Genomic DNA, 20,707 nt, shown 5'->3' on the forward strand with positions numbered 1-20,707 from the left:
TGTCTCTACAAAAATACAAAAAATTAGCCAAGTGTGGTGGTGCAAACCTGTACTCCCAGCTACTTGGGAGGCTGAGGCAGGAGAATTGCTTGAACCCAGGAGGCAGAAGTTGCAGTGAGCCAAGATCACACCACTACACTCCAGCCTGGGCAACAGAGCAAGACTCCATCTCAAAAAAAAAGTAAAAGAATTTGTCTTCTGCAATGGAGCTTCTATTCTCACTCTTGACCTGTTTAACAGCAGCAGAAGTCTTAATGTCTGCAGTGTTCCTCAGAGCCATTCAGTCAATCAGTAATTATTCAATAGAACTATTTTCCTGAACAGTGTTAGGTGCTAGATTCTGGGAGAAACAACTGCCAGTTCCTAGCAGAACTTAAGTAGTACATTTATACAGCTTTTAATATAATACGGTGCCTAGTGAGTATTAAAATAATGAATGAATAAGGCAACTCTGATGCAATAATTATACAAAGCAATGAGAAGTGCTATAAGGAGGACTCCATATTTTCTCCATTTTCGTTTTTTTTTTTTTTTTTTTGAGACTGAGTTTCGCTCTTGTTGCCCAGGCTAGAGTGCAGTGGCACGATCTCAGCTCACCACAACCTCCACCTCCTGGGTTCAAGCGATTCTCCTGCCTCAGCCTTCCTGAGTAGCTGGGATACAGGCATGTGCCACCATGCCCGGCTAATTTTGTATTTTTAGTAGAGATGGGGTTTCTCCATGTTGGTCAGGCTGGTCTTGAACTCCCAATCTCAGATGATCCACCCACCTCGACCTCCCAAAGTGCTGGGATTACAGATGTGAGCCAACGTGCCCAGCCACCCATTTTCTTTTAAAAAATCATTTTCTATTCCTCATGATAGCCTCTCATTTGCCAGGATCTAGAGCAGCATTGTCTAGTAGAACTTCTGCAAAGATGATAATGTTGTATATTTGCATGGTCCAATATGATAACCACTAACCACATGTGGCTATTGAGGACATGAAATGTGGCTAGTGCAACTGAGGAACAAAAGTTTACATTTTATTTATTTATTTTTAAAGACAGGATCTCACTCTGTCACCCAGGCTGGGGTGCAGTGGCTCAATCACAGCTCATGTATCCTGTATATCCTGGGCTCAAGTAATCCTCCCATCTCAACCTTCTGAGTAGCTGGGACTACAGGCATGCACCATCCATGTGGCAAATTTTATTTTATTTTTTGTACAGATGGAGTCTTGTTGTGCTACCCAGGTTGGTCTTGAACTCTTGGCCTCAAGTTATCCTACTGCCTCAGCCTCCCTTTACTTTTTTTTTTTTTTTTGAGACAGGGTTTCACTTTCCTCATCCAGGCTGGAGTGCAATGGTGCGATCTCAGCTCACTTCAACCTCTGTCACCAGAATCATATGATTCAAATGATCCTCCTGCCTCAGCCTCTCAAGTAGCTGGTACTATAGGTGAGTACCACCATGCTTGGCTAATTTTTTTTAATTTTTATTTTTAGTAGAGATGGGATTTCACCATGTTGCCCAGGCTGGTCTTGAACTCCTGAGCTCAAGTGATCCACCTGCCTTGGGCTCCCAAAATGCTGGGATTACAGGCATGAACAACAGTGCCCAGCTTTTATTAAAATTTAAATAGCCAAATGTACCTAGTGACTACTGGCTAATGAATCAGGCAACGCTGTTGTAGAGTGCTTGAGTATTAGTAATTCCATGAAGTTAGTAAAAATAAGAACCTAATGTTAATGTGTTTCATTCACTTCAGTTATTATTGGGGCAAATCAAGATTACCTTAAATCCTTTTTTCCAATATTCTTAATATCTACACATTAGTGCTTTTCAAATGAAGTTATTTTATCAAGTTCTTTCAAGCTTAACTATTCTTTTCTATAAATAGAATTAACTATTTAGAGGTGACAAAAGTAGGTGACAAAGATCTGATAAGAAATATGAGTCTAGTTTATGCATTTTTTTACTTGTTTGAAGTTAGCAATAGTTTTTATATGATTATGTCAGATTCCAAATATGAGCTGTTAGTGCTTGTATGGGAAAGATTTTTTCCATTTGCAGTGAGCATAAAATCTGCTTCTCCATCAAGAGTACTAAGTTCCTTTTGAACAATGCTTATTCTCTCCCTTACCAGTTTGGTCCTTAACTACTTACTACCCTGTAAAAATTCTGAATAACTATTTGTATTGCTATCTAAATCTTGTTTGTTATTTAATTTTAAATATATGCATAACCTAGATCCCTACTTTTATACCTTAAGCTTCCTGAGGGCAACATGCAATTTGGGTTTGGTGGAAAAAAATCCCTGGACTTAAAGTCAGGTTATGGAAATTTCAACAATCTTTTTGAGCCTCACATTTCTAATAGATAAAATGAGAATAATAATAATATTGGTTTCACTGGGTTCTTCAGGGCATCAAATGAGGTGTATGTGAAGTTCTCGGGGGATGCTCAAGTACTAAGTCACTGCTAGATACTCTGTTTCTTGGTGTCCTTTATAGCAAAACCATAGGAAGAGCTCACTGAATAATCACTTAATGAGTGAATGAATGGATATAGAGGACTAAGGAACTATAGTTTTTAGTGATTTTTTTAGTGATTTAAATGAGCAACTGAATCCAGGTGGCTGGGACAACATATTTGCCTGGGTCTATGGTCCCTTTACCACCTTCAGGGCTCTCATCCCTGATTGTCTTATCATAAGCCTGGGTTATTATAAAAGATGTGTCTGTTGGAAAGCTTTTGCCTGTGAGCCACAGAAGACTTGCCAATCCTGAAGTGCTTTAAACATAACAGGCTTCTTTGTGTGTGTGTGTTTGGAGACAGGGTCTCATTCTATGGCCCAGGCTGAAGTGCAGTAGTACAATCAGGGCTCACTGCAGCCTCCACTTCCTGGGCTCAGGTGATCCACCCGCCTCGGCCTCCCAAAGTGCTGGGATTACAGGTGTAAGCCACCATGCCCGGCCTAGTAACAGGCTTTTTCTTCTTCTTTTTTTTTTTTCTTTTTTTTTTTCAGGCAGGGTCTTGCTCTGTCACCCAGGCTGGAGTGCAGTGGTGCCATCTTGGCTCACTGCAACCTCTGCCTCCCAGCTTCAAGTGATTCTCCTGCCTCAGCCTCCTGAGTAGCTGAGATCACAGGCACACACAACGCCCTGCTAATTTTTGTATTTTTAGTAGAGATGGAGTTTCAACATGTTGGCCAGGTTAGTCTCCAACTCCTGGCCTCAAGTGATCCACCCACCTCGGCCTCCCAAAGTGCTAGGATTACAGGCGTGAGCCATGGCGCTAGCCCATAATGGGCTTCTTATCTCACTCACATAACTAGAAGTCCACGGGGAGGGTAGTTCTAGGTTTGCTTACTACCGCGGGACCCTGATGCCGTGAAGTACCTGGGTGCTTTCCTCTTTCTGGTTCAGCAGCTCAACATCCCCAGTGTCTTGCCCATGTCTCCTCTCATGGGCTCCAGGGGCTGCAGCACTTCCAGGCATCATATGCGGGTATGAAGGTATCCAGCAAAGGAGAGAAGTGTGTTCTCCTGTGCATCTTTTTCTATTTATTTATTTATTTATTTATTTAGATGGAGTCTTACTCTATCGCCCAGGCTGGAGTGCAATGGCACCATCTTGGCTCACTGCAACCTCCGCCTCCTGGGCTCAAGTGATTCTCTTGCTCAGCCTCCCGAAGCGCGCGCCACCACGCCCAGCTAATTTTTGTATTTTTAGTAGAGACAGGGTTTCACCATGTTGGCCAGGCTGCTCTCGAACTCCTGGCCTCAGGCAATACACCCTCCTCGGCCTCCCAAAGTGCTGGGATTACAGGTGTGGGCCACCGCGCCTGAGATCTTTTTGTTTTTGTTGTTTTGTTTTGTTTTGTTTTTGACACGGAGTCTTGCTCTGTCACCCAGGCTGGAGTGCAGTGGTGCCACCTCAGCTCACTGCAACCTCCGGCTCCTGGCTTCAAGTGATTCTCCTGCCTCAGCCTCCCAAGTAGCTGGGATTACAGGCACCTGCCACCATGCCCGGCTAATTTTTCTATTTTTTTTTTTTTTTAGTAGAGACAGGGTTTCAGCATGTTGGTCAGGTTGGTCTTGAACTTCTGACCTCAAACAATCCACCCACGTCGGCCTTCCAAAGTGCTGGGATTACAGGCATGAGCCACCACACCTGGCCTCATCTTTTTGTTTTTAATTGATGAGGAAAAGCTTCCTCAGAAGTAGCTCCAGTATCTTACCCTCAAATAAGGATTGGGTCACGGTGCCAAAGCCTACACCAGTCGCTGGCAAAGAGAAGGACACTGCTATGATTGCCTTTGACAATGAATGCCTTCCATGAGCTCATGGCTGCAGAGTGAAAGCCAGAATGGGTGAGTTGAAACCGGCTGTTGAGTACGCAATGAACAGTGTCTGCTACAAAAAGCAAGACCTGTTAATCTTTTCTAGTGGAGCTGAACTTGGACCTCATATGGATGGGGCTCTGGAAGGGCCCCAGACATGGGAAAGGAGCTCTGATCTTTATCCGTGACTACAAGTGTGACAAGCAGAGGAGAAGAGTTGACGCAACCTACCTCGTACCTTTCTTTCATTGGCCTTCCTCTGAGGAAGGAGTCTTTGGCTTTAAGTACTCATCGTCCAATTTTTCTAGGTCTAGGCTAAGAGATGGTGAAATAGAGGAAGTTAAGAATTGCTTGAGAGCAAAGGTACGTTATCATGACCGCTACCACCTTCATTGTCATCGTGATTGCCACCATCACCAGCCGGCAACCTTCTTGAGATGCCCACTTGCAGTGACACTGTATTCTATGCTGGGCAGAATCATCTGGGTCAACATGACCCCAAGCCATACAGGCTCTGGGTCTCAACCTTTGTTCTGCAGGGACACACCTGCTGGAGGACATTTGCCTGGGGCACCAGCTCCCAGGGCTTCATAAATGCTTTATGGGCCTAGGCCATGAGTTATACTCAATCCCACCCACATCCCACCCCACAAATTATGGCTCCTTTCCTTTCTCTTGTACAGATAATGACATACCAATAGCTCATGACATCAGAGCTGAAGGCTACTGCTTGAAGGATTTATAATCCAAAAGAATTAATTATGCAGATAAAAATGCTGGCAACATGCAGAGAATAAGACTTTTTAAAAATGTGAATAGATCAATTAAGCAGTTCTGTTATTTACTTGTCATAAGGAAGTGCCTGTGAGGAAGGAAAAGTGGGGAAACATGGGGGACCTCTTGGAGTAAGAAAAATGCCACTTTTTAAATGATTCAAAAAATGCCTATTTGTTAATATATGCTCCATGTTCTTAACGCGCACAACTCTACAACTCAACTAATTATCATTGGCATCACCAGGTTACTCCAAAAAATGCTAGGCAGTGTGTTTATGTTAAAACAAACAAGCAAGCAAACTTCATTTTCCAATCAATAGTGTACCTTACTCTCCTCTCTTCTTATTTAGTTACCATTTAGCCAGGAAGAGGTGGGGAGTCCACCTTCCTGAATAAAAGATTTGATAAATCATCTTCCTTGCCCTATTGAAATTTCAGGTTGGCTGGGCATAGTGGCTCATGCCTGTAAGTAATCCCAGCACTTTGGGAGGCCGAGGTGGGTGGATCACCTGAGGTCAGGAGTTCGAGACCAGCCTGGCCAACATAGTGAAACCCCTCTCTGCTAAAATACAAAAATTAGCCAAGCATGGTGACGCACACCTGTAGTCCCAGTTACTCAGGAAGCTGAGGCACGAGAATTGCTCGAACCTGGGAGGCAGAAGTTGCAGTGAGCTGAGATTGTGCCACTGCACTCCAGCCTGGGCGACAGAGCAAGACTCTGTCTCAATAAATAAATAAATAAACTTTAGATTTATCCATTTTTAAAATCATTTGCACGAGTATAGAAAAATATTAATAGATTTGAAGCAATGTCCTTTACACTGCATGCAGTTAATAAATCCTTAAAATGATAAATGATAAAATTAAAGTAAATTTTCCTTTGAGAGTCAGTCTGTTTTGGTATAATGACTCTGTTAGACATTATTACATAATACAAGGACTTTTTTCTAATGTGACCTCACCCCAAACTACACACTCTGTACCACAAATAGAATGAGTGTGATTTCCTGAAAAATAAATTAAAACATGAAAATCTATGCAATATGGATCATTCTGCCATTTTTTTCTCTAATGAGCAAAACAGAGATTTCTCTCTTATTTTAATGACTTTTTTTCTAATAAGTGTTTAAAATATCTTGAAACCAGAAAACACCTTTACATAAAACTATTCACTTTAAGCAAGTCTTTTTGTGACCCAGGATTTAAAAATATACAACCTTGGGTGTGAGTTTTCATCTAGACCTTGTTAGGTGATTAATTCTTCCTCAATGCTAGAATCCCTCTGCCATGTATCTTACCTCATTCTGGGTATCTCTGCAGACACCTGGAACAAAAACTTCATAAATAAAATGATTTTTATTTGGCTTTATGTTTTTTTCTGTGCTGGGGCTCAAAGAAGAGGCCTTTTGTTACAGAAACTCTTCATTTGTGCTTATGGTAAAGGACGGGGGAATGGAAATTTCTTTTCTCCTCTTGGGACAAGCAGAGTATTTCCCCTCATGGCTGCCTTTGCTGCCATAACTTCTATGAAACATCCCACTCTTCAGCTCCCGAAGGGGAGCCATTGGTCCTAAGGGTAAGGTACCACTTTTTTGTTAATGCCTCTATGAAAGATTTACCTATCTTGTAACAACAACGACAACAACACTATAGGAACAAAACAACAAACTAATACATAGATAGCACTATGCATTTTAAAATGAAGGGATCTGAAATGCACCTCAGTAGCATAAAAATTATTCCAAGCGGCCGGGCGCAGTGGCTCCCGCCTGTAATCCCAGCACTTTAGGAGGCTGAGTTGGTTGGATCACCTGTGGTCGGGAGTTCGAGACCAGCCTGGCCAACATGGTGAAACCCTGTCTCTACTAAAAATACAAAAATTAGCTGGGCATGATGCTGGGCGCCTATAATCCCAGCTACTTGGGAGGCTGAGGCATGATAATCGTTTGAACCTGGGAGGCGGAGGTTGCAGTGAGCTGAGATTGTGCCATTGCACTCCAGCCTGGATGACAAGAACGGAAGTCTGTTTCAAAAAAAAATATTTCAAGCTAAAAGCATCTGAAGAAGTAGCAGCCGTGAAAAAGGAAACCTTTTCTAAACTTCATTTTGCTGACTTAAGCAGGATCTTCCAAAAATTATAGCTGCCATAAATTCCCTCTCCAGGGGGTTTACAGCCAGCAAGGAGACTAACCATTAGTACTGGGATGAGCAATTGCTTAAACAAATTATCTGAAACTGTCATACCTTTCATTTGGTCTTCCATGGAAGCCCTTTCTCCTGCCTCCTTTTTCTCTATGTAGTTGGTATAAACTCCTATCTCTAGCTGCTTGAGGAGCCATTTCTTTTTCTTTTTCTTTTTCTTTTTTTTTTTTTTTAGAGATAGGTTCTCATTCTGTCACCCAGGCTGGAATGCAGTGGCACCTTCATAGCTCACGGCAGCCTTGAACTACTGGACTGTAGCCATCCTCCCACCTCAGCCTCCCAAATAGGTAGGACCACAGGCGTGCACCACCACACCCAACTAATTTTTATTTTTATTTTTTTGTAGAGATGTGGTCTTGCTATGTTGCCCGGGCTCAAATAATCCTCCCACCCAATCCCAAAGTGCTTGGGATTACAGGTGTGAGCCACTGTGTCCAGCCTTGAGGAACTATTTAATCTAGAGGCTCCTACCCACATAATAAACTTTGTCTTCTCTCTGTTAATCTGTCTACAGTCAGTTAAATTTGTAAGCCCCTAGCCGCTGAACCCAAGCTGGAAGAGGAAAAGCTTTTATCCCAACAATATTATCTCACTTAACACTCACAGCAGCCCTATTGTACTCCCATTTTTCAGATAAGGAAACCAAGTCTTTGAGAGGTTAGGAAACTTATTCAAGACCACACAGTCATTAAATGGCAGAGTTGGGGTTTGAATACTTATTGCTTGAAATAGGGAAAACACAGCTGATTGTTCTGATACACTAAATGCACAATGTCCTGGAACAGCTGGGTTATTGATCCTATTTTCCTTTTTTTTTTTTTTTTTTGAGACAGGGTCTTACTCTGTCACACAGGCTGGAGTGCAGTAGTGCGACCTCAGCTCACTGCAACCTCTGCTTCCCTTGCTCAAGCAATCCTCCCACCTCAGCCTCCTGAGTAGCTGGGACCACAGGTGCACACCACCATGCCCGACTAATTTTTTGTATTTTTTTTGTAAAAACAGGGTTTTGCCATGTTGCCCAGACTGATTGATTCTATTTCCTTGTTCCTTTGATATTTAAAGGTATGAGGGCAGAGCTGCAGAACAGGTTGGAGGCAGCAGCTTGGTTCCAGACAACTCAACAAAAGGAGATTTCAGAGGGAGAGTATCTGAAGTTAAGAGCCAACTGAACATTGTGTTATGTTAGTACCTGTGGTCAGGCAGCAAACTGAGAAGGAAGAGGGAAAAAAATATGGTCATGTACATAAGTATGGTCCTACACCAGCTTAGGGGCCCAGAGATCCCCCCTGAGAGATTGTTCTTGGACCAGAGGTTCACAACCTTAGTCTTGTCATGACACCCAACAGAGGTGAGGATTTTAGGCACAAACCCCTCCTCAATCTCATGCCCAGGAAGCTCATGGAATAGACCTGAGTGAGATTTATTTATTTATTTATTTATTTATTTATTTATTTATTTAGAGACCAAGTCTCACTCTGCCACCCAGGCTGGAGTATAGTGGTACAATCTCGGCTCACTGCAACCTCCACCTCCCCAGTTCAAGTGATTCTTCTGCCTCAGCCTCCCAAGTAGCTGGGATTACAGGTGCCCACCACCATGTCTGGCTAATTTTTATATTTTTAGTAGATACAGGGTTTCACCATGTTGTCCAGGCTGGCCTCAAACTCCTGAACTCAGGTGATCCACCCACCTCGGCTTCCCAAAGTGCTGGGATTACAGGTGTGAGCCACTGCGCCCGGCCAAGCAACATGTTCTTTTAAGCGCCACTAATCTGCTCACATTTATTTAATAATAATAATAATGGTAGCTACTAATAAACACTCTGCAGCTTGGTTATTAGCAAGGTGTGTGCAGCATCTACCTGGACTATGGAAAACCAGTCGTTTGGTCCACCAGGAAAGTGCCCCTTTGTACTGTGGTCCATCTGATTCCAAAGAGAATGAATGGCCACAAAAGGTGGTAGTCACTGCCTCCTCTCCCAGATGCCAGGCTTGACCTCTCTGGGCATCTTCTCATAGCCCTGGTTGCTTTGCACCTTGGCATGCAAAGACAAACACCAGCACGGAGAGGCACCATTCTGCATAGAGCTGGTACCTACTTTGCTAGTCTTGAGCATGGAGGAAAAACTACAGTCAACAAAATGAAGTTTTCAAGCTAAGAAACAAAGATCAGATTTCAATAATAAAGAGGGAAACTTGGAAAGTCTTAAATTGAGCAATGGCTTTCATGGCCCTTGGGGCTGCCTCTGCAGAGGCAGTTAATCATCCGCCTGAACAATCAAATCAATACCCATGACCTTTCCTTTCAGTTGTTTCTCCTGCTGTCTCTCCCCCTACAGTCAAAGGGAAGATATTGCAATTATTTACTTTAGAAAAGAAACATGAATATAAAGCAAGTTTATAAATTATGTGTTACTAAAATGAAATTCTCTAAGGAAATCATGTTTAGACACTGTAATTATAAGGCATATTTTTGGTAATATTTATAGTTATAACATCTTCACGTGTATCAGTTTATCTGATCTATTATAGTTTCCACCCACTATCTCATACAGAATGTGGGATAAATTACTTCTGAAAGGAGGGAAGTGTTCATTTCTGTATCCTGGATGGGTGGAGATAGGGGAGGGTAAGTGAGCTGATTAAACTTTCACAAGTCAGTTCACTGAGCAAAGTATCCTGTATCCTCCAGAATATCTTACAGTCATAACTCTACTGACATGTTCTGAAATTAAACTCAAAAGACTCAAAACCTGTGATTTTCTACAGATCTTTGATATATTTTTGTAAACTGAAATAGACTGTGATCAGCAGTTGTTTCTCAGACCCATCAAGAATTCATTGTACCTGCAGGAGAGGCCCACACAGTTTGCCTTCTCAAGTTTCTCTTCCAAGAGACAATAAACAATACCTCCCTGCAGAGTGGTGAGAATGAGTTTGCCTCTCAAGTTAAAAGGAGGTGGGAAGTGTGAGGTGAGGTCAGGGAGCACTGTGGCAAAGTCAGCGGCTGAACTTGAAACCCATCCGACAGTTAGGTGTCAATGTTGACTGTGGTTAAAAGAGAAGCCCCACTAAAGGTCCTCAAAGTTGTGGAAAAACTGAAGCACCTTCCTACTCGCCTTTAGCAATCAACTCTTTTAATAGCAGCATGAAATTTTCTTATGACCAAACCTTTCTTGGCCATGAAAAACCATGGCCGAGTGAATAATTATTTATTTAAATAGGGCCTGGTCATCTGCTTTGTGCTTTTTCTGGGTGTCTTCCTCTAGAAAGCCCTCCTTGCACTTCTGTCGGGGGCTGAGGGTCCCCTATCTGAAGTCTTGTAGCACTCCGGCTTGCCTCTAAGCCTTCACTGTATCGAGATTTTCTGTTCATGGGGTCATTATGGAAGGGGGGCGCAGCGGGGAGAGGAATCACCATTGATAGTGTTTGTAAAATGTGTCATTGATAGTAAAATGACAAGGGTACAAAGGCAGCAGTAGTATGCATGGAGAGGAGATGACCAACAAATTCAACAGAAATTTTAGACATGAAGTCCATAGACCTTGGCTATTGATTGTATGGGCAGACCTGAGGGATAGGGAGGGATAAGCTTAAGTGATGGGTGGATGGTATTATCACATAGGGAGCTAAGGAATATAGAGAATGTGGAGCTTCAAGCAGTGAGGCCAGAAGAAGATAATGAGTCATTGTTGGCCATGCTGATGTTGAGGTTCTGTGGGTCTTGTATGCATATGGGAAGTGGTTGGGTATAAGACTGGAGCTGAAACAGAGGTTAGGACTGGAAATGTAGATTTGGGCTTTCTGGTGACCATGGAGGTGGGCTGTTGGGATATCCTGATGGGAGAACCTGCTACTAGGAGTGTAGTTGGCAGACTTTCTTCTCCTTTACTCCAGTCTGGGGCTCTTCCTTCCTACCCAATCCTCTTTCCTGCCCCTTTTCCTTTCACAGATATCTGATTGGTACAATGGTCTGAAGGCTGGCCCTGCCTTCTTTTGCTCCCTCTCTTCTTTATCTCTTGCAGGCATTTCTCCCAATAATGCCTGGTACCTCTCATTCCCTTTTGGTGTCTGCTTCTTGGAGAGACTGAACTGACACAGAAGTCATTGATATGCAGGTAGCTAATAATTAAAAGAATGGGAGCAAATCGGACATCCCTGGGAGAACATATAGAATGAAAACAAAAATGTTGAAATGTTAAAATTAATAAAAAGATTGAGGAGAAGAACTCACACGTAGGTAGTGATAAGGGTTTCCTGGGGCTAGACCACGTGGGTTTGAGGCAGGTCCCACCTCTTCTGAGCTTTGTCACTCTTAGCAGATTGCTTAGCCTTTCCCAGCATTGCTTTCTTTGTATAGGAAAGGGGGGAAATAATAGTACTCATTAAAGATTTGGGTGGGCATGGTGGCTCATGCTTGTAATCTCAGCAATTTGGGAGGCTGAGGCGGGAGGATGGCTTGGGACCAAGAGTTTGAGACCAGCCTGGGCAGCATAGGGAGAACCCTATCTCTACAAAAGATAAAAATGTATTCAGGTATGGTGGTGCGTGCCTGTAGTCCTAGCTACTTGGGAGGCTAAGGCAGGAGGATTGCTTTAGCCCAGGAGTTTGAGGTTACAGTGAGTTATGATCATGCCAGCCTGGGTGACAGAGCGAGACCCTGCCTCTTAAAAAAAAAAAAAAAAGTTTGTTGTGTAGATTAAAATGAGCTAATATATGTAAAGTGCTTAGAAAACCACCTGCACAAATTAAGGCCAGAGTGCAGGTTGGTCACTATCATCAGGTGGAATGGATGAGGAGCTCCAGAGTAGCCAGGAAGGGGAGGACTCAAATGGCAGCAACACAGAGCCAAGGAAGTGGAAGTTTCAAAAAGAACACAGTCTCCAAAGTTATGAAGAACTGAGGAGAAGAAGAAGGTGAAATAACATCCAGTAGGCCTGGAAATGAATGATGACCTTGGCAAGGGCTGCCTCAGTGGCATGAGGAAGCTGAAAGCCAGAGGACAGTGGCTTGTGTAGGGAGAGTAGACAGTCTCCACTCCTTCCAGAGCCTGGCTTGGAAGTAAAACAGAGTGAGAGGGTTGTGGTCGGTCAGATGGGGGCGCTCAAGAGCCCAGGAGGAAAGTCAAGCTTCTTTATAGGCAGAAAGTAATATGGTACCTGAAGACAGGAATAGAATGATGTTTTGGATGGCAGGGTGTTCTTAGGAATCAGGAAGGTGGGCTCCCAAGCACAGGAGGAATGGATCTGGCCAGCAGGAAGGATGGCTAATGTTCTGAGACCCAGTAGGTAAGAATGAGGATAGACTACAAGGTCAGAGGACAGAAGCATGAAGGCATTTCCAAGAGTGCATCTGTAAATCTGAAGAGGGCTGAAGTGGGGAAGGCAATCTGAAAAAAGCGAGGGAAAAAACAAAACAAAACATTTCACTGATATGTGTGACCCTTTTCACCTAGCAGTGAAGGAAACTCATGTTGACTGAACACCTCCCCTGGGATGTGTGGGACCTGGGATGAGAACTTTCACATAGCTGCTGTGTTCATGTCCATCACCACCCTGTGAGGTAGGTATATTATTCCCATTTCACAGATGAGGAAAGCTGAGGCTCAAAGATTGAGTCATTGGTCTAAGATGTACAAGGTCTAGCAGAGCGCTCGATAAGTAATTGTTGAATGAATGGACTGCACAGATCATGCTCTCCAACGGGTTGTATACTTGTGTGATGCTTTTCCCCAAAGGTCTTTTTACTGTTGAAAGGATTCTTATATAGTTAAGTCTTGGATCAGTCATAACCTCCAAAAATGTGACAGTACTGAAAAACACAAAAAGTGGCTGGACAAGGAAATGCCTGTGCTACCTTATTTACCCCAAACAGAAAAGCTACTTAAAAGATTATGACTGACTGGGAAATGTGATTTGGTTGGACAAAAGCACTTGAAGCTCTAGTCCCTAACAATTCCATCCAGGACCTCCCTGAGAGTCAGAATTGATGTGTGGATTGTTTTAGTTTGACTGTTAATAATATCTGGATGAAAATGCCTGCCAAAACATTTCACTGGGGGATTTAGAATATGCTTTCCAAGTCTACAACTGAAGGGCAGCAGCCGATGTTAATGTGTGCCTGTTGGCATTCGCCAGTTCATCTGGCCAAATGACAAATCACCATCGTGTCCTCAAGAACACTGTGTGTTCTTGATAGTTTTAAGTCAAAATGTAATTGTGGTTCTTCTTGTAATTATACCAGTCAGAAAGAGAATGGTACAAATAATAAAATTTAAGGTAATAAATGAATAGAGGACTAGATTCCAAGTTCATTGTGGGCAGGGATTGGGTCTTATTTAAATTTTTATTATTCATTTTATTTTTTTAATTTTTAAACATTATTATTATTATTATTATTATTGAGATGGAGTCTTGCTCAGTAACCCAGGCTGGAGTGCAATGGCATGATCTCGGTTCACTGCAACCTCCGCCTCCCAGTTTCAAGCAATTCTCTTGCTTCAGCCTCCCGAGTAGCTGGGATTATAGGCGCCTGCCACCATGCCTGGCTAATTTTTGTATTTTTAGTAGAGATGGGGTTTCGCCATGTTGGCCAGGTTGGTCTCGAACTCCTGACCTCGGGTAATCCACCCACCTTGGCCTCCCAAAGTGCTGGGATTACAGGCATGAGTCACTGCACCCCAGTATTCATTTTAGAGGATTGGCCCAATGCTTGGCACACAATGTGTGCTAAGTGAATTCTTGCTGAATTAAGTTGAACTGCATCAACGTTGTAGACAGTGGAGTGGTCAGAGATCTGTAAACCATTTAAACCTGCTTCATTTTTCTTCAAGAGCAGAGCACAGAACTGTCACACAAAGCTGCTGTGTACATAAACACTCTAATTCATTATTGAGGTTCAAAATGAATTATTAATCTCTGAAAATAGTCCATAGCCAGGGTTGGCTGTCAGTGAAGCAGGAGAAAGGGTAACTAATCTTCCTGAATTGTATCCTTTCTTTCCCATCTTCAAGTCTTTGTGTTTGCAGCTCTTTGGTGCTGTGATTTCAATTCTCATTCTATCCCTGACTTACTGTTTGACCTCAAAATGAGTCACTTAATTTTAGTTAATAGCTAAGTTTCCCGTTCAGTGAGAGCCAAAGGGACCTGGCTCTATCATTAGCTAATATCAAGCCTCAAATGCTAGATGTGCTATTCAGTGCCATCCATCATCTCTGTAAGGCTAATGGAAATGAATCACAAATACAGTGCCCCAGGCGAATTCCCTCAACTCCTCCAAAATGAGTCCTTGGGGTTGCTCAGTCACTGTGTTGTACAGTAAGGGGGAAAAGATAAAGAAGCTGAGGATGGTTGCCCCAAGCCCAAAGGAGAAGATACCCTGGTAACAGAGGGCAGCAAGGAGAAAGCTCAGCTCTCTGGCCAGAGTCACTGTGATATGATCACCAACTTGGGCCCTTGGAAAGAGTAAACTAACCACCATATATATATATATATATATATATATGTATATATATGTATGTATGTATGTCAATCTAATCTTTAAAGTATATCTTATATATATGTATTGGAGACAAGATCTCACTCAATTACACAGACTAGAGTGCAGTGGCATGATCACAGCTCACTTCAGCCTTACCTCCTGGGCTCCAGCTACCCTTCCACCTCAGCCTCCCAAGTAGCTGGGACTACAGGTGTGTGCCACCACAACTGGCTTTTTTTTTTTTTTTTTTTTTTTTTTTTTGTATTTTTTGTAGACACAGGGTCTTTCTATGTTTCCCAGGCTTGTCTTGAACTCCTGGGCTCAAGCAATCCTCCTACCTCAGCTTCCCAAAGCACTGGGATTACAGTTGTGGACCAACTCGCCCAAGCCTCCGATATTTAAATTTCAGTGAAATAAAATGCAAGTTTATAGAATAAATCAATATGGAGTAATTACTCACACTTTTCATTTCTTTCTTTCTTTTTTTTTGAGACAGAGTTTCGCTCATGTTGCCCAGGCTAGAGTGCAATAGCATGATCTCGGCTCACAGCAATCTCTGCCTCCAGGGTTCAAGTGATTCTCCTGCCTTAGCCTCCTTAGTAGCTGGGATTACAGACACACGTCACCACGCCTGGCTAATTTTTATATTTTTGGTAGAGACAGGGTTTCACCATGTTGATCAGGCTGTTCTCAAACTCCTAACCTCGTGGTCCACCCGCCTCAGCCTCCCAAAGTGCTAGGATTAGAGGCATGAGCCACCCAGCGCAGCCTACTCACACTTTTCTAAGATTTGCCTCTTGCTTTCTTTAAATAGAAAACATCTCCAGAGCCTTTAAATAAGACATACTTTAAAGATTAGATTGACATACTGAACATCAGTAGCAATCTGAAAGTAAGAGGAATGCAGGCCAGGCGCGGTGGCTCACGCCTGTAATCCCAGCACTTTGGGAGGCCGAGGCAGGTGGATCACAAGGTCAGGAGATCAAGACCATCCTGGCTAATATGGTGAAACCCAGTCTCTACTAAAAATACAAAAAATTAGCCGGGAGTGGTGGTGGGCACCTGTAGTCCCAGCTACTCGGGAGGCAGAGGCAGGAGAATGGCGTGAACCCTGGAGGCGGAGCTTGCAGTGAGCTGAGATTGCGCCACTGCACTCCAGCCTGGGCAACAGAGCAAGACTCCGTCTCAAAAAAAAAAAAAAAAAAGAGGAATGCACAGCTTGTCTCAGAGAGCTATGGGTTATGAAGGATGAAATGCATAGGAAGTAGAGGCTGGGACTTCCTTAGCCAGGATGTAGGCGCAAATGCAGGCTCCACCCAAGCCTACATTTCTCAGGAAGGAAACAGCTCCACAGACGTGAAGCCCAAGGCACTGTGGGAAAGATCTATTAATAGAAGGGCCTGGCCGGGTGCTGTGGCTCACGCCTTTAATCCCAGCACTTTGGGAGGCCGAGGCGGGTGGATCACGAGGTCAGGAGATCGAGACCATCATGGCTAACACGGAGAAACCCTGTCTCTACTAAAAATACAAAAAAATTAGCGAGGCGTCGTGGCGGGTGCCTGTAGTCCCAGCTACTCAGGAGGCTGAGGCAGGAGAATGGTGTGAACCCGGGAGGCGGTGCTTGCAGTGAGCCGAGATTGTGCCACTGCACTCCAGCCTGGGGCACAGAGCGAGACTCTGTCTCTAAAAAAGTAAATAAATAAGTAAATAAATAAATAAATAAAAGAAGGGCCCTGTGTAGATGACTCGCCTTGACTACAGCCGACCTTAGAACACTTCACCCAAAGGGTGTGATCAATTGTGGGGGCTGTGGTCACAGTGCTCCTTGGGACACAGGCCTTTTGGAAACCCTGTAGAAACTGCATTGCCTAACTTGTCCCTCGAACAGCAGTACCTGCTGATTGAGGGTGTCAGACATGGAATTTGGCTGCATCGCCTTCTACTCTGTTGCCAGCCCACACACTGGCCTCTGTAAGCACCAGGGGAGTGCCTTTGAGTCCCCACCCACCTTGCTGCTCAGCTCGCAGCACCATCTGTGCACTTACTGGGTAACAGTAATAATGGATGGGCACTTCAATCACATATGAAAACCTCTAAAGCTCCACTTGCAGGGACTGTAAATCTCATATATAACTTTCCTAAGTGACTAATGAGATAGGTTCTCGACACGGCAGAAGGCTCCAGGAATCTTTATGATAACGGTAGTTTATGAATTTATTTTCTTGTGACAGTATTTACAAACTCCATGATTCATAGTAGACTCAATAAATATTCAATATGATAAAACACTAAACATGAAAGTAATGATTTGCACATGGATAGAATAAAAAGGGCTATTTCTCAATGTTGAGAGGGAAAAATATAACCATTAAGAAATTTATCTGAAAACAACAATATGCTATTTAAAATAACAATCCACCCAACCAGTAACAAAATATTTCAGTTGAACTGAGGCTGCCCTCAGTGGTCCCCTGACCATAGTACAGATCCCATAACTAGCAATCAGATTGAGATTTGTATTCCATTCATTTGTCAAAGTCTATATCAAAAGAGGTCTTTCTGGCTTCAGGTACACATGCAGTGAACAGCTTCTTTAAACTATTATTTGAGAGAAATAAGGTCAGATCCAAGGTAGTTATTTCCTTTTCAGCTTGCCCCTCATATTGAATTTGTTTAAGAGATGTAAATGAAGAGTGACAATTTTTTTCTGCCATACTAAAGTCATGAAATAAATGACCAGGGTTTTTGAATGGCTAATATGTTTTCTCTTGTGGGTTAATATGATTGAATGCTTATAAGTGCTTAATTTAGCTGGGCGCGGTGGCTCATGCCTGTAATCCCAGCACTTTGGGAGGTTGAGGTGGGCGGATCACGAGGTCAGGAGTTCGAGACCAGCCTGGCCAATATGGTGAAACCCCATCTCTACTATAAATACAAAAAAGCCGGGTGTGGTGGCACGTGCCTGCAGTCCCAGATACTCAGGAGGCTGAGGCAGGAGTATCGCTTGAACCCGGGAGGCGGAGGTTGCAGTGAGCTGAGATCGCACCACTGTACTCTAGCCGGGACAACAGAGTGAGAAGCTGTCTCAAAAAAAATTAAAAATAAAAAAATAATAAGTGCTTGATTTGCTTTAATGTTTATGTTCAATTTTTCGATGTTCTTTGCAGTGGAGAACCATTCCTTTTGTCTGGCATGCACCCACTTGCCTTTCTTTTGGCAATAGCATCTGGATTTTCTTTTGCAGAGCCATCCTTCCCTCACCTTAGGGGTGGAGGTACATGCTTTTGGGTGGCTATATCCAGACACTGGCAAGACATTTAGTCCTGGCCAATCAGAACTCAGTATCTTCCTGGAACCAGAATTGGTTCAAGAACAAGCCTGAAGTTTGTCAAAAAGGGACAGCCTGGGACATTTGCTGGAATGATTGGTCAAGAAGTCCTCTTTCTATGGAGGTTTCTAACTGGTGGGATGTAAGCTGCTTATTATCTTGACACCGGGCAGCAATGAGCCTAAGTTAGAAGAAAGCCACCTGACAGAAAGAGAAATATGACATCATCTGAGCACCTAATACATTCTCATTTTTGCTTAAGCCTGTTTGAGTTTGGTTTCTACTTGGAATTGAAAGTGTTCTGACTAATGAATACAATTTTTGATATGTTTTTCTTCCCCAATTATTTATTTTTAATGCTTTCAAACCCCACAAAAAGTAAGCAGCCTGGACAACATGACAAAATGCTGTCTACTAAAAATACAAAAATTAGCTGGGTGTGTTGGTACATACCTGTAGTCCCAGCTACTCAAGAGGCTGAGATGGGAGGATTACTTGAGCCTGGTAGGTTGAGGCTACAGAGAGCTATGACCACACCACTGCACTCCAGCCTGGGTGACAGAGCGAGATCTTGAAAAAAAAAAAAAAAGAGAAAGAGAAAGAAAGAAAGAAAGAGAGAAGAGAGAGAGAGAAAGAAAGGAAAGAAAGAAAATGAACATCTGTATACTCCTCACCTAAATTCACCAATTATTGATAATTTGACACACTAACCTTATCTCTACTTATCTACCTATTTGTATCTCTACCTATCATCTATCTTCATGTTTCGTTTTGCTATGACACAACCTCAACAATGTTATTACACAAGAAAATTAGGATCAATTTAATAATATCTAATAGTGGTCCATATTTAATTTTTCTTAATTGTATTCAATCTGCCTTTTAATTTTATTTTTTTAAACATAAGAGCCAATCAAGTTTCATGCTTCGAATTTAGTTGTTCTGTCTCTTTTATTTAGAATATACCCTTAATTTTAATTTTTTAAATGACATTCTCTTTTATTTTTATTTTTGTCTTTTATATTTTAGGACCCACAACAGTTGTCTTGTAGAATGTACCATATTCTGATTCATCTGATCATTTACTCAGGATTAGATTCACATTTTTAACACAAATACTTCCTAGGTAGCACATTATATGCACTTTTGTACCTTGCTTCTTTTTTCTCCCAACTATATATATTGGAAATTAATCCACTTAACCCATAACAGTTTTCCTCAGTATTTTTTAGGGTTGCATAGTATTCCATAATGTAGAATAAATCATAATAATTTATGATTAATATAATTAATTAAATAACATTTAAAATAATTTATAATTATTACATAATAATGAATCATGTTTCATGATTTATTCGACCAGTCTTCTAAGGATAGACATTTAGGTTGTTTCCTAATTTTTCTATTACAAAATTGTTACAATGAAAGCTCTTGTAAGTATGTTGTTTCATATATTTGGAGGCCTCTTTTCATGGTAAATTCTTAGAAGTGGCAGTGCTGGGTCAAGAGGTCAACTTATATGTAGCTTTGTTGGATGTTCCCAAATTCCAGTCTACTGGAGGTTGGTAAAATGTCTTGACATTTCTACCTTGTCTTTTAAAAATTTTATTTTTATTTTATATTTCATACAGGGTTTTGAATATCCTTAGGACACATCTGTTTTTCATTTTTTTTGCTTCACAGCACTAACATAGTCTATTGTTCATAGAAGGTGCTCAGTAGGTGCTGAATGTGTGAATAAATGAATGAATCAATGAATGAATGGGCTATTCTTTTCCACAATATCAGCATTGCTCACTCACTTGATGGGAAACTGGGACCCAACTAAGGTAAGAACGTTTTTCAAAGCCACTCTATCAGTCAGCAGAGGACATAAAAAACAGATAAATATGCAGGCAAGCAGGAAAAGGTGGGAGGCTAGCCTTGAAATTTTGAAGTACAACCAAGCACATTATATTAGCACTTAGAATGTGCCAAGCAAGAAAGATACAAAGAGTATAAAGATGATGCTGTGGAACTCAAGGAGGCTACAATCTTGTTATGTCTGTAGAGGTACAGGACACACACACACACACACACACACACACACACACACACACAGAGCAACAAAAAAAGGTGATTGTAATAAATATCAAATGGATGGTGCAGAAGTTTTTATACAATAGGAGTTACAAGGAGGGAAAACAAGAACTGCAGTTTGGAGTAAAGGAATGTACACTCAGTGGACAGATTCTGTTGCAGTCTTATTTTATTTTATTTAATTTTATTTTTTAGAGACAGTCTCACTCTGTCACCTAGGCTGGAGTGCAGCGGCACGATCATATAATAGCTCATTGTAACCTCAACCTCTTGTGCTCAAGTGATCTTCCCACCTCAGCCTCCCAAGTAGCTGGGACTACAGGTGCATACCACCATGTCTGGCTAATTTTTAAAATTTTTCATAGATACATAGTCTCACTATGTTGCCCAGGCTAATGGCGAACTCCCGGCCTCTAGTGATCCTCCTGTCTTGGCCTCCCAAAGTGCTGGGATTAAAGGCGTGAGCCATAGTGCCTAGCCTGTTGCAGCCTCGAGACTTGATTTGGATGAGGCAGAATTC

At 42.3% G+C, this 20,707-nt stretch overlaps 1 long non-coding RNA gene across 1 annotated transcript in view, besides 1 other annotated feature; it reads left to right on the top strand.

Annotated features, from left to right (window-relative positions):
* Positions 1–1,363: 1,363 nt before the first annotated feature.
* LINC00407 (long intergenic non-protein coding RNA 407) overlaps positions 1,364–20,707 on the top strand; it is a 60,648-nt gene continuing 41,304 nt past the window's right edge. Inside the window, exons 1-2 of the long non-coding RNA NR_149082.1 lie at positions 1,364–1,438; positions 12,760–12,863. This is a non-coding gene — a long non-coding RNA (long intergenic non-protein coding RNA 407). The remainder of the gene's footprint in view (positions 1,439–12,759; positions 12,864–20,707) is intronic.
* Positions 9,825–10,491: an enhancer, noted in NCBI's record as "OCT4-NANOG hESC enhancer chr13:45222966-45223632 (GRCh37/hg19 assembly coordinates)". NCBI's record gives its function as "activates a minimal SCP1, AML or CMV promoter by ChIP-STARR-seq in primed H9 embryonic stem cells {active_cell/tissue: H9 hESC(primed)}" and the evidence as "EXISTENCE:reporter gene assay evidence [ECO:0000049][PMID:30033119]".

Source organism: Homo sapiens, chromosome 13 (assembly GCF_000001405.40).
Source record: "Homo sapiens chromosome 13, GRCh38.p14 Primary Assembly".
NCBI lineage: Eukaryota > Metazoa > Chordata > Mammalia > Primates > Hominidae > Homo > Homo sapiens.